General features: G+C 45.3%; 1 annotated feature.

Annotated features, from left to right (window-relative positions):
- Positions 4,620 to 4,820: a silencer, noted in NCBI's record as "peak272 fragment used in MPRA reporter construct". NCBI's record gives its function as "represses an SCP1 promoter by STARR-seq MPRAs in K562 erythroleukemia cells {active_cell/tissue: K562}" and the evidence as "EXISTENCE:reporter gene assay evidence [ECO:0000049][PMID:32103011]".

Raw genomic sequence — 13,262 nt, forward strand, 5'->3', positions numbered from 1 at the left:
AAAAATTATTAGTACTAAAGATGAGATCTTACTATGTTGCTCAGGCCGATCTCAAAACTCCTGAACTCAAGCAACCTTTCTGCCTTGGCCTTCCAAAGTGTTGGGTTTACTGACCTGAGCCACTGTGGCTGGCCTCATTCTTTTTTTCCTTATTCTTATCCTACTGAATTATTTCAAAAGACTTGTCCTGAAGTTTTGAAATTCTTTCTTCTGTTTGATCTAGTCTTTTTTTTTTTTTTTTTTTTTTTTTTTTTTGAGACGGAGTTTCGCTCTTGTTGCCCAGGCTGGAATGCAATGGTGCGATCTCGGCTCACTGCAACCTCCGCCTCCCGGATTCAAGTGATTCTCCTACCTCAGCCTCCCGAGTAGCTGGGATTACAGATACGCACCACCATGCCCAGCTAATGTTTGTATTTTTAGTAGAGATGGGGTTTCACCATGTTGGACAGGATGGTCTCAATCTCTTGACCTCGTGATCCACATGCCTTGGCCTCCCAAAGTGCTGGGATTACAGGCATAAGCCACCGCCCTCGGTGATCTAGTCTATTGTTGAAGCTATCTTTCCTTTTTTTTTCTTTTTTTTTTTTGAGACACAACAGTTTTACTCTGTCACCCAGGCTGCAGTGGCATGATCTGCACTCACTGCAACCTCTACCTCCTGGGTTCAAGCGATTCTTGTGCCTCAGCTTCCTGCATAGCTAGGATTACAGGTGTGTGCCACCATGCCCAGCTAATTGTTTGTATTTTTAGTAGAGACGGAGTTTTGCCATTTTTGCCCAGGCTGGTCTCAAACTCCTGAGCTCAGGCTATCCACCTGCCTTGACCTCCCAAATTGCTAGGATTACAAGTATGAGCTGTTGTTGAAGCTTTCAAGTGTATTTTGTATTTCCTTAAATAAATGAATTATTCAGTTCTAAGCTTTCTGTTTGGTTCTCTTTTTTTTTTTTTTTTTTTTTTTTTGAGATGAAGTCTCACTCTGTCGCCCAGGCTCTAGTGCAGTGGCGCGATCTCTGCTCACTGCAAGCTCTGCCTCCCAGGTTCATGCCATTCTCCTGCCTCAACCTTCCATGTAGCTGGGACTATAGGCGCCCGCCACCACACCCGGCTAATTTTTTGTACATTTAGTAGAGATGGGGTTTCACCGTGTTAGCCAGTATGGTGTCAATCTCCTGACCTTGTGATCCAACCGCCTTAGCCTCCCAAAGCGCTGGGATTGCAGGCATGAGCCACCATGCCTGGCCTGTTTGGTTCTTTTAAAAAATACCTCTGGTAAATTTCTCATTCATATCCTGAGTTGTTTTTCTGATTTCTCTGTATTCTTTTTCAGAATCCTCTTGTAGCTCACCAAGGTTCTTTAAAATCAGTATTTTGTGAATTTCTTTTTTATTGGGATCTGCTGCTGGAGAATTATTGTTTTCCTTTGGTGGTGTTATATTTTCTTGCTTTTTCATGTTTCCTGTGTCCTTGCATTGACATCTGCATATCTAGCATAATTGTCACTTCTTCTAATTTTTTGAAATTGCTTTGTAGGGGAAGATTTTTCCCTGAAGATGTGTATATGTTGTTGGTTAGATAGGATCATTGGTTGGCCTTGATTTGGGGTGCATGCAATAGCATGTGGGCTATGTGATTTCTTTTTTTTTTTTCTTTTGAGATGGAATCTCACTCTGTCACCCAGGCTGGAGTACAGTGGTGCGATCTTGGCTCACTGCAACCTCCGCCTCCCAGGGGTTCAAGCAACTCTCCTGTCTCAGCCTCCTGAGTAGCTGGAACTACAGGCGCATGCCACTATGCCCAGCTAATTTTTGTATTTTTAGTAGAGACGAGGTTTCACCGTATGGGTTGGACTGGTCTCGAACTCCTGACCTCAGGTGATCCACCCACCTTGGCCTCCCAAAGTGCTGGGATTACAGGTGTGAGCCACCGCACCCAGCCTGGCTGTGTTTCTTCAGCTGTAAATGGCATCAGTGGCATCCATGCTTTTTTGGTGGCTTCAGGTTTGGTTATTACTGGAGTCTGTGGTTAGGTTTTGCTGGAACTAGGGTGCCAAGTGGGCGGGCCAGTGTTTGAGCCCCAGTGGCGGTAGTGGTGGGCCAAGCATGCCTGTTTGTGGGCCTCAGGGGACCTATGTTGGCACCAACGTTAGTGGGTCCTGGAGTGCTGATTCTTAGCCTTCTAGATGGCTTGCTTAAATGCTGGTTGTGGCAACAGTGTGTTGGGCGTATGTGCAAGTTATCAGGCCCCTTGGCAGCTGGTGTGATGTGGGCCATGGCAGTAGCAGTGGTAGAACAAACCCACTGGAGTCCAGGAGGTCCATGGTGGTGTTGGTAGTGGCTGTGACAGGTTGTGCAGGCTAGTCCCTCTGGTGATACATGCAGTTGGGTAATAGCTGTGGTGGTACATGCTGTTGGGTGATAGCTGTGATATCTGGTCCCTGGTGATACATCCAGTTGGGTGATAGCTGTGGTGGTATTGGCAGGTTGGGTTGACCCAACCTCTGGATAGCACACTTGAGTACTGGTGGAAGGAGACCAGGCTGGTAGACATGTCCTCAGTCCCCCTTGGTAGTGCATTCAGGTGCTGGCTGCAATAGGAAGGGGCAGCGTGGCTCAGATGTGGGCAATGGTGACCACACTGTGGGCCTGCCACCATTGAAGGTGGAGCCTGTCTCTGCTGGAGCAGCCAAGGCAGGTAACTGTGGGCAGTGTAATTTGCTCATGCCTTGGTCCCACAGCATTCTGCCACAGCAGCAATGGGAATTTTCCTTGGGGTACATGGGACCGCCTAGCCTCCCCTCTCCCACCTTAGCCCAGTGATGACAGCGACAGCCCAGACCCTAGGGCAGGATGCAGACCTTTGAGAGCTTGGTTCTCAGAATAGCACCAAGCTGCAGCTGCTTAGGACATGGATGCCTGTGGGACTTTGTGTGTGTTCCCTCTCTGGAGCAATGCCTCTGTGCCTTTTTTTTTTTTTTTTGAGTCAGAGTTTTGCTCTTTTGTCCAGGATGGAATGCAGTGGCATAATCTCAGCTCACTGCAACCTCTGTCTCCCAGGTTCAAGCAATTCTCCTGTCTCAGCCTCCCAAGTAGCTGGGATTACAGGCACCCACCACCGTGCCTGGCTAATTTTTGTATTTTTAGTAGAGACGGGGTTTCACCATGTTGGCCAGGCTGTTCTTGAACTCCTGACCTCAGGTGATCCACCCACCTTGACCTCCCAAAGTGTTAGGATTACAGGTGTAAGCCACCACGCCCGGCCTCTGTGCAGTCTTTAGGCAGCTCCCTATGATAGTCTCAAGGCCCATGTGGGTTGGTTCCCCTATAGCTAAGACTATAAAAGGCTGTGGTGGGAATGTGGAGCCTTGGGGCTCTTTCTTACCCTTTTCCCATATCAAGGGGCTTTTCCTGGCTCCCAGCTGATCCGAGCCAAACAAACTGTCTTGCTTCCATCTCCTAACTTGCTTTCAGTGCTTCTCATCACTTCTCTGTTGAATCTCCGTATTCTCTCTCAGATCATCTAGTTGAATTCTATTTATTTATTTTAGAGATGGGGTCTCATTGTGTCACCCAGGCTGGCCTCAAATTCCTGGACTCAAGTGATTCTCCCACCTCAGCCTCCCAAGTAGCTAGGACTACAAGTATGCACCACCATGCCTGGCTTACTTTTTATTTGTTTTCTTTAGCTAGCATTTATATAGTGCCTATTATAGTCCAGATGCTATGGTAAAAAGTATACAAGTATTAGCTCATGTAATCCTGTGAAATAAGTATAGTTATCCCTGTTTTACAGATGAGAAAACAGGCACAGAAAGTGCCTTTCTTAAAGGCACACAACTAGTACTGGTGGAGCTGAGATTCCACTCAGGCTGCATGGCTCTAGAGTCAGTGTTCTAAGCCACTTGTGGCTTGAAAAATAGAACCTATTTGTGCAAGACATAACCTTTATTCAGCCTGAACCCAATGCTAAATGCCTACATAGACTTGTGGACTTTTTGCAATAATGCTAATGGAGCCAAGGGGTGCAAGTTGGAGACTGGCAGACTAGAGGACTTTTAATCTCTGTTTGACTCTAAATTTCATAATCCCAATAGAATTTTTGTAAAGGAGGTGGGAGTTAAGGCTCTCTCAACTTCAGCTCATGTAACCAGGACAAACCAGCTGAACTTGGGGTCCTTTCTCAGAAATGAGCATAAGAGGCACTCACCCTTGTGCTATAGACAAAAGAAATGTAGCACAAGGCCTGTAACTAAGTCACATGTGTCTCCAGGGAAATACATGCATGCCTTTGGAGTTGAAACTGGAGCGGCAGTAAAACCAAAAACATATGCTCACTCTTCACTATTCAGCCACCTCTGAACTTCTTCCTCCTCACCTTTTTTACTGTTACCAATGAAATATATTTTTAAGGGATTTTTTAAAAGGATAGCTTACAGAGCACCCATAAACCTACCCATCATTTGTAATTTCTTCCTTTAATTGAAAAAACTTGTTTTTTTCTTAGTGGTCTTATCCTACTGCTCTAGAAGAAAGCTCAAGATACTCAGGATACCAGTTTGATGGACAATGAACTAAGCCCAGAAGAAATCCCTCTCCAAACCTATCTTCTTGTTGCTGTCCTATCTGTGTACTTCTATGCCTGACACTATGCCAGTTATTAGAAATAGATCAACAGGACTCAGTTCCTGCTCTTAAGGAACTCATGGATGACTAAGGGAGACAGATATGTACATAAATCATTGCAGTGGAGGCTGGGTGTGGTGCCTCACACCGGTAACCCCAGCACTTTGGGAGGCTGAGGCAGGCGGATCGCCTGAGGTCAAGAGTTCGAGATTAGCCTGGCCAACATGGTGAAACTCCATCTCTACTAAAAATACAAAAATTAGCCAGACACAACTGGTGCATGCCTGTAATTGCAGCTACTCGGGAGGCTGAGGCAGGAGAATCATTTGAACCTGGGAGGCAGAGATTGCAGTGAGCTGAGATCACGCCACTGCACTCCAGCCTGAGTGACAGAGTGAGACTCCGTCTCAAAAAAAAAAAAAAAATCGTTGCAATGGAAGGGATAAATTAATCCATACACCACATGCTCTAGGATATTTTTAGCCTGTAGACTTTTGCACATGTGGGTCCCGAGGCCAGGAATGAGTTTCCTTGGTTCTATGGCAGGCTGATTCCTGTGGGATGGCGCATAGCATAGGAGCCCTTAACTTACCACAGGGACATCAGAGAAAGATTCCTGGAGGAGGAATGTTAACCCTGTCAAAATGCAGAATTCCAGGTCTGGAGTGGGGCATCACATACTGCATTTCTAACACGCACCCAGGTGATACTGCTGCTGCACCAAACTTTGAGTATCAAGGATGCTTGGGAAGTATGGAGATAGGGATGAAGAAGGGGAGAAAGAAAGATGATCCAAGCAGATGAGTCTGCTGTGAGCTGTGCTGGCTAAACCATAGTGCCTGCAGGGACCTCAGCGGTGCAGGCTAGGAATGAAAAGGAGAAAGGATGGCATGGGAACAGTGGACACATAGAATGTCTGTGAAGGAATGGCAGACTCAGGCTTTCATGGCAAGTGAAGGAGGCCTGAAGTAATGGACATAGCACCAGAAGCTGAGATTTGTAAATATAGGGATGAAAAACTAATGTTTCTTGAATATCTGCATACCTCTATCTATATCCTTATCTGTATCTATACCAATGTCTGTCTGTCTTTGGCACTTCATTTTGTCCTTGCAACAGCCTAAGAAGTAGAAAACGGAGATTCAGAAAGATTAGGTTAGTTGCTGCAAGTCACACAAATAGGAAGAGGTGGATTCCAGCAAGAACTAAGTAGGAGCTGGGCTCAATAGGCCTATAATCTCAGCACTTTGGGAGGCTAAGAAGAGAGGATTTCTTGAGGCCAGGAGTTCGAGATCAGCCTTGGCAACATAAGGAAACCCTATCTCTAAAAAAAAAAAAAAGAAAAGAAAATTTGTTTTTAAATTAACCAGGCATGATGGTGTGTGCCTGTAGTCTCAGCTACTCCAGAGGCTAAGGCGGGAGAATTGCTTAAGCCTGGGAGTTCAAAGATATAGTAAGCGGTGCTCATGCTACTGCACTCCAGCCTGGGAGGCAGAGTGAGACCCCGTTTCTTACAAAAAAAGAACAAAAGAACTAAGTAGGGTGTCAGGACTCAGATAAGTAGATGGAGATTCAGAGAAGAGCTTTTAGTCCAGTGGGCAATTCAAATATAAATGGAAACTTGGAGACCTAGTATAGTTGCAGTGCCTGGGTCAGTAGATCAGGATTTTGGAAGGCTGGAATCTGACGGTGGCTATGGCAAGAGACTAGGGCTCCTGACAGATTCAGGGAGCAGCCCAATCCCAGACTCCCAGACTCCAGCAAAACTCAAGCTGAAGTTAGAGGGGCTGTCCCTGTCAACATGGCTAGATGACTCCATGGTGAAACCCTGGAGAAGAATTCCACGATGGTAAATGGAAGGGCTGTTGAAGCCAGAAAGAGAGTGCAGAGGAATATTTTATTCACTGGGTAGACACAAAGATGGGAGAATCTAGAAATGAAGACAAAGCCTTATTTACATTTTAACAGATTTTCTCTCCTGCCATAATAGAATCATAACCTTCTTGAAACATATACAGTCTTATTTATTTACTTATTTATTTATTTATTTATTTATTCATTTAGAGACAGGGTCTCATTCTGTTGCTGAGGCTGGGGTGCAGTGGTGCAATCATGGCTCACTGCAGCCTTGACCTCCTGGGCTCAAGCAATCCTCCTGCCTCAGCCTCCTGAGTAGCTGGGACTACAGGTGCATACCACCATGCCTGGCTCATTTAAAAAATTTTTTTGTAGAGATGGAGTATCGTTATGTTGCCCAGGCTGGTCTCCAACTCCTGGGCTTAAGGGATCCTCCCACCTCAGCCTCCCGAACTGAGACTGCAGGCATGAGCCACTGTGCCCAGCCTCACAGATACTTTCTTAAGCTGCTCAATGCAAAGGCTTTCCCTACCTCCACCCATTTATTTAATGTTAAATAGAGACTACGTGTTTAACATCCAAGGACTGCTACTTTAACTAAGGAACATCTAAATAAAATATGTTTGTTTTAGGAATGAAATCGATTCACTTAGTTTCTCATTAGCCATGTTATTCCAACCCACTACTTTATGACTCATTTAGTTCCTTTATCAGAAAAACTGAAGACATATTTACAAGTCTATATTTCACAAATAGCTTTGTACAAACTAGGAATTGGTGGGCACTCCCTAAGTAAACATAAAAATAAATTACCTTCTGTTAAAAGTCAAAATGTTAGCTGTGTATGGTGGCACACGCCTGTAGTCCCAGCTACTCAGAAGGCTGAGGCTAGAGGGTGACTTCTAGGCGGAAGTGAGCTATGATTGTGCTACTGCACTCCAGCCTGGGTGACAGACTGTCTCTAAAAAGAACAGGTGAAAATGACAAGGTTTAGAGTATGACCCATGCACATGCATTTCCCAGGTGTGGCAGAGAACAATAAAGAAAGCAGGATACTGGAAGAATCACCTATGTGGGTAAACAAATCACAGGTTTTATGATGGGAGCCTGGTGACAGAAACAATAGGATAGTTACATTTATCTTACTTAGCAGGCAGATTGTTATTATTCATGCGTTATTCTGAATACTTTTACAAACATGAAGCCACTTAATCCTGTGAGGTAGGTTTTACTACTATCCTCATTATACAGAGAAGGAAACTCAGGCACAGAGAGCTTAAGTCGCTGCCCAAACCTTAAGAAACATATAGTTCAATGGGGACACCAATGCTCAAACAGGTTAAAATATTTGTGTAAAACCAAAGAGAAGCAAGAAGAGATGAGAATTCCCATCTCCAGAGTCTCAAGTCTTGCTTTTTAAGCTAAAATGTAAGATTTTAGAAACAAGAGCATCATTTCTTTGATATATTCTCCAGTCCTTTGTGCCTTTGCTATACTCTGCACATACCATTTGTGTAGTTATACCACTGCCTTGTGAATATCTGTGTTCTTTTCTTCCCTACTAGACTGTGAGCTGCTTGAGGGCAGCGACTGTGTGTCTTTTTCTTTTCTGTATGGGCAGCAGCTAAGCATAGTACCTGGAATATACTAGGTGCTCCATATGCTTATTGAAGTTTGGGTGTTTTTTGTTTTCATTTTTTTTTTTTTTTTTTTGAGACAGCATCTCACTCTGTCATCCAGGCTGGAATACAGTGGTGCGATCACAGCTCACTGCAGCCTCAACCTCCTGGGCTCATGCAATCCTTTGACCTCAGCCCTCTGAGTAGCTGGGACTACAAGAACCTGCCAACATGCCAGGCTTTTTTGTAATTTTTGTAGAGACAGGGTTTTGCCATGTTGCCCAGGCTGGTCTTGAACTCCTGGGCTCAAGCAATCTACCCTCCTTGGCCTCCCAAAGAGCTGGGATTACAGGCGTGAGCCACTGAGCCCAGCTGTTCATTGAATAATTGAATGGATTAAACTCTTGATTCTTTCCTGACTTCTGACGCCAATGAAGCCTGGCCTTGAGGCATAGGATGGCACCTGGGTTACCCGATGGCTCTCTGTGCCATGAATGTTTCATAACTGCAGGCTGTGTGTTGCTTGTTCTGAGCTTGGCACTATGCCAGAGAGATGTCTGACTGAGTGGTCTTTTGCAAAGTAGCCTTGATCTTCTATTTTTCCAGTTGTTTTAGTTCTTGTAGATTTTGTTTTCTTCATATACGCACCAGGGAGTTTCATACATTCTTTTTTGTCTATGCTTGTCAGACTGTATACAGTGTCCTTCAGTGCTTAAGCTGCACACGTAGTCTAAGAACTTAGGATAATAGTAACTTTTTATTTAGGTAAATTAACAATTTGTTCAGCATTTCTTATGTGTTAGGTACCTTACATTCATTATCTCTTTTAATCCTCAAAATATCCCTGTGAGACATTTTGTATAGTACCCGCCCCACTCCCGACAGCCTTTTTTTTTTTTTTTGAGACGGAGTCTTGCTCTGTCACCCAGGCTGGAGTGCAGTGATGCAGTCTCGGCTCCCTGCAACCTCCGCATCCTGGGTTCAAACGATTCTCCTGCCTCAGCCTCCCAAGTAGCTGGGACTGCAGGTGCCCACCATCACGCTGGGCTAATTTTTTGTATTTTTAGTAGAGATGGGGTTTCACAGTGTTAGCCAGGATGGTCTTGATCTCCTGACCTCGTGATCCGCCCGCCTCGGCCTCCCAAAGTGCTGGGATTACAGGTGTGAGCCACTGCACCTGGCCCAGTACCCCATTTTATGATGCTGAAAATGAAGGCTCAGAGAGGCTAAGTGATTGATTCAAGGTTATGCAGCCATTGAAGGTGAAGCCAAGATTCTTACCCAGGTGTATATGTGGCTGTGTTAGGCCACTTTTGTGTTGCTATAAAGAAATACCTGAGGCTGACTAATTTATAAAGAAAAGCAGTTTATGAGGACTGAATCAGAAGGAAACAAAAAAAAAATAAATAAAGAAGGAAAGAAAGAAAAGAAAAGAGGCTTAATTGGCTCAGGGTCTGCAGGCTGTGCAAGCATGGCTCCAGCATCTGCTCCTGATGAAGGGCTCAGAATGCTTCCAATCATGGTGGAAGGTGAAGGGGGAGCAGGTATGTCACATGGCGAGAGAAGAAGCAAGGAGGTGGTGGTGGGGGAAGGTGCCAGACCGTTAAACAACCAGATCTCATGTGAACTAACTAACCAAGAATTCACTTAGGAGATGGGCCTAAACCATTCATGAGGAATCTGCCCCTATGATCCAATCACCTCCCACAGGCCCCACCTCCAACATTGAGAATCATATTTCAACATGAGATTTGGAGGGGACAAACATCCAAATCATATCATTCTGCCCTTGGCCCCCAAATCTCATGTCCTTCTCACATTTCAAAATGCAATCATGCCTTTGCAATAATCCCCCAGAGTCTGAACTCATTCCTACACTAACTCAAAAGTCCCAAGTCCCATGTCTCATCTGGAAATGAATTCCTTCCATCAATGAGCGTGTAGGATAAAAAATAATTTACTTCCAAGATACAATGGCAGTATAGGTGTTGGATAACATTCTTGTTCCAAAAAAGAGAAATTGGCCAAAAGAAAGGAGTAATAGACCCCATGCAAGTCTGAAATCCAGCAGGGCAGGCATTAAATCTTAAAGCTCCAACATAAGCCTTGACTCCATGTCCCACATCCTGGGTGCACTGGTGTGAGAGGTGGGCTCCCAAGGCTTTGGGCAGCCCCACCTCCATGGCTTACCTGTCTGCTGTCACAGGTGGGAATTGAGTGCTTGTGGCTTTTCCAGGCTCAGGATGCAAGCTGTCAGTGGTTCTACCCTTCAGGGGTCTGGAGGGCAGTGGCCCCCTTCCCATAGCTCCACTGAGCAGTGCCCCAGTGGGAACTGTGTGCGGGCTCCAACTTCACATTTCCCCTTGGCATCATCTAGTATCTCTGTGGGGGCTCCACCCCTGCAGCAGGCTTCTGCCTGGGCACCCAGATTTTCCACACATCTTCTGACATCTAGGTAGAGGCTGCCAAGCCTCCTTCATTCTTGCATTCTGTGCACCTGCAAGCTTAACACCACATGGAAGCCACCAAGGCTTATGGCTTGTGCCCTCCAGAGCCACGGCCCAAGCTGTACCTGGGGCCCTTTGAGCCTTGGCTGTAGTTGGAGCAGCTGGGATGTGGGGAGCAGTGTCCTGAGGCTGAGCAGGGCTACACAACCATTTAACCAGTCTCTAAGAAGTTCCAAATTTTCCCTCATCTTCCTGTCTTCTTCTGAACTCCCAAACTCTTCCAACCTGTGCCCCTTACGCAATTCCAAAGCTGCTTCCACATCTTTGGTTATCTTTAAGGCAATGCCCCTCTTCTCATTCCCAGTTTTCTGTGTTAGTTCATTCTTTCAGTGCTCTAAAGTCGTACCTGAGGCTGGGTGATTTATAAAGAAAAGAGGTGTAATTGGCTTATGGTTCTGCAGGCTGTATAAGCATGGCTTCAGTATCTGCTCCTGGTGAGGGCCTCAGGAAGCTTCCAATCATGGCAGAAGGTGAAGGAAGAGCAAGTGTGTCACATGGTGAGAGCAGGAACAAGGGGGTGGGGGAGGTCTCAGACTCTTAAACAACAAGATCTCATGTGAACTAACTGAGTGAGAACTCACTCATTGCCAAGGGGATGGTGTTAAATCATTCATGAGGGATCTGTCCCCAGGATCCAATCACCTCCTGCCAGGCCCCACCTCAGGGGACAAACATCCAAACCATATCAATGGCCAAAGAGTATGCTCTTTCCACTAGAGCACACTGCTATGAAGTATGGCCCAAAGTTAAAATAACAACAACAACAACAACCATCAAATAGGATGGGAAAGTCCTGCCTGGCTATGTGCTGGTAGTTTTTACAAAGTCTTAGCAATTTGAGTGACAACAAACTGGGTAAGTTGTCAGTATTGGCCAGGGTGAGGGTGGGCTGCCAATTAGGCAAGCAGTGAGCTAGACTACTTTCATCAACCCAGGAAGCATCCAGAATGAGGAGGGGAGAGTCCTGCTCTATTCTGTACTGAAGCTTCCACATCTAGAAGCGTCATTCATTCATTCAGCAAATATATTGAGTGCCTACTTTATGCCAGGGCAACTGCTAAGAACTAGATAAAGAAGACAGATACATTCTCTGCCATTGTGGAATTTACTTTTGGGTAATTGTTATTTTCAGTCCTGGACATGACAATTAAGTTTGGATGTTACTGGACAAACTAGAGAGTGTATTGAGAAGTAGGACCAGGATGGTGAAAACAGAGGAGGGAACAGTTGAAAGAACTAAGAGCAGACAACAGAGGTGACTGAGGGATGAGATATCTTTGGCACTTAAAGGTCTAAACATGACGAATGGTTATGCTGGCTGTTTTCTGTACAGCCAGCGTCAAAAAAAAGTTTCCTCATAAGTAACGAAAAGGCTGCCTCTAAAAATAGTAAGCTCCTCATTACTGGAAGTGTCCAAGCAGAGACTGGTAACTTTTCAGTGATGTCATAAAGAAAGGTAGTGTACCTGAGGCAAAAAGCATGGAATCTGGGGATTAATTGCCTGGACACTATAAATATTATTTGTGTGACTTTGGCACACAGTGACAAAGCCCATAGCCTTCAGAAAATGGTGTCAAGTATTATTAGTATATAGGTAGAGGTGGGAGCAGATGGCCATTAAGTCTCTTCCAACTACATGATTCGGTAGTTCTGTACTTAACCTCTTCACTCCCAAGTGAAATTTTTACAAAAATGCTTTCTGAATATCCATGACTACTATCTAAGTACCCTGGTTGGGGAAGGGCAGAAGAAGGGGTAAAGAGGAGAAGATTCCTCTTGTGGGCTCTCAAGTCTTCCCAAAAGTTGCTGATGTCATTGTTTTTGTAAGATAAAAGAGAGTAATGTCTGATTCTTCTGGAAAATGTGGTTTTCCTTGCCAAACCAACAGTTCTTCACGTTTGTTTTGCCCTGACTTCCTTTTGCAGTTAATCTAATAATGGCCATGCATGGCATGGCACTTCTCTAGGGTGTTTGCATTTTAGGGAGGAACACATCCAAATATGAAGGCAAAAAAGAAGGAAAAAGAAAAAAAAAAAAAGGGCCGGGTGTGGTGACTAACGCCTGTAATTTCAGCACTTTGGTAGGATGAGACAAAAGGATCACTTGAGCCCAGGAGTTCAAGACCAGCCTGGGCAACAAAGTAAAACTTCGTCTCTACAAAAAATTTTAAACATTTGCCAAGTGAGGCTGGGCGCAGTGGCTCACACCTGTAATCTCAACACTTTTGGAGGCCAAGGTGGGTGGGTCACGAGGTCAGGAGTTTAAGACCAGCCTGACCAACATGGTGAAACCCCGTCTCTACTAAAAATACAAAAATTAGCTGGGCGTGGTGGGGCGCACCTGTAATCCCAGCTACTCAGGAGGCTGAGGCAGGAGAATCACTTGAACCCGGGAGGCGGAGGTTGCAGTGAGCCAAGATCATGCCACTGCACTCCAGCCAGGGCAACAGAGCTAGGCTCCATCTCAAAAAGAAAAAAAAATTCGCCAAGTGTGGTGGCACACACCTGCAGTCCCAGCTACACAGGAGGCTGAGGTGGGAAGGATTGCTTGAGCCCAGCAAGTGGAGGTTGCAGTGAGCTGAGATCACACCACTATACTCCAGCCTGGGCAACAGAGCGAGGACTCTGTCTCAAAAAAAAAAGAAAAGAAACGAAAAGAAA

The sequence above is a fragment of the Homo sapiens genome, chromosome 1 (genome assembly GCF_000001405.40).
Source record: "Homo sapiens chromosome 1, GRCh38.p14 Primary Assembly".
Lineage (NCBI taxonomy): Eukaryota > Metazoa > Chordata > Mammalia > Primates > Hominidae > Homo > Homo sapiens.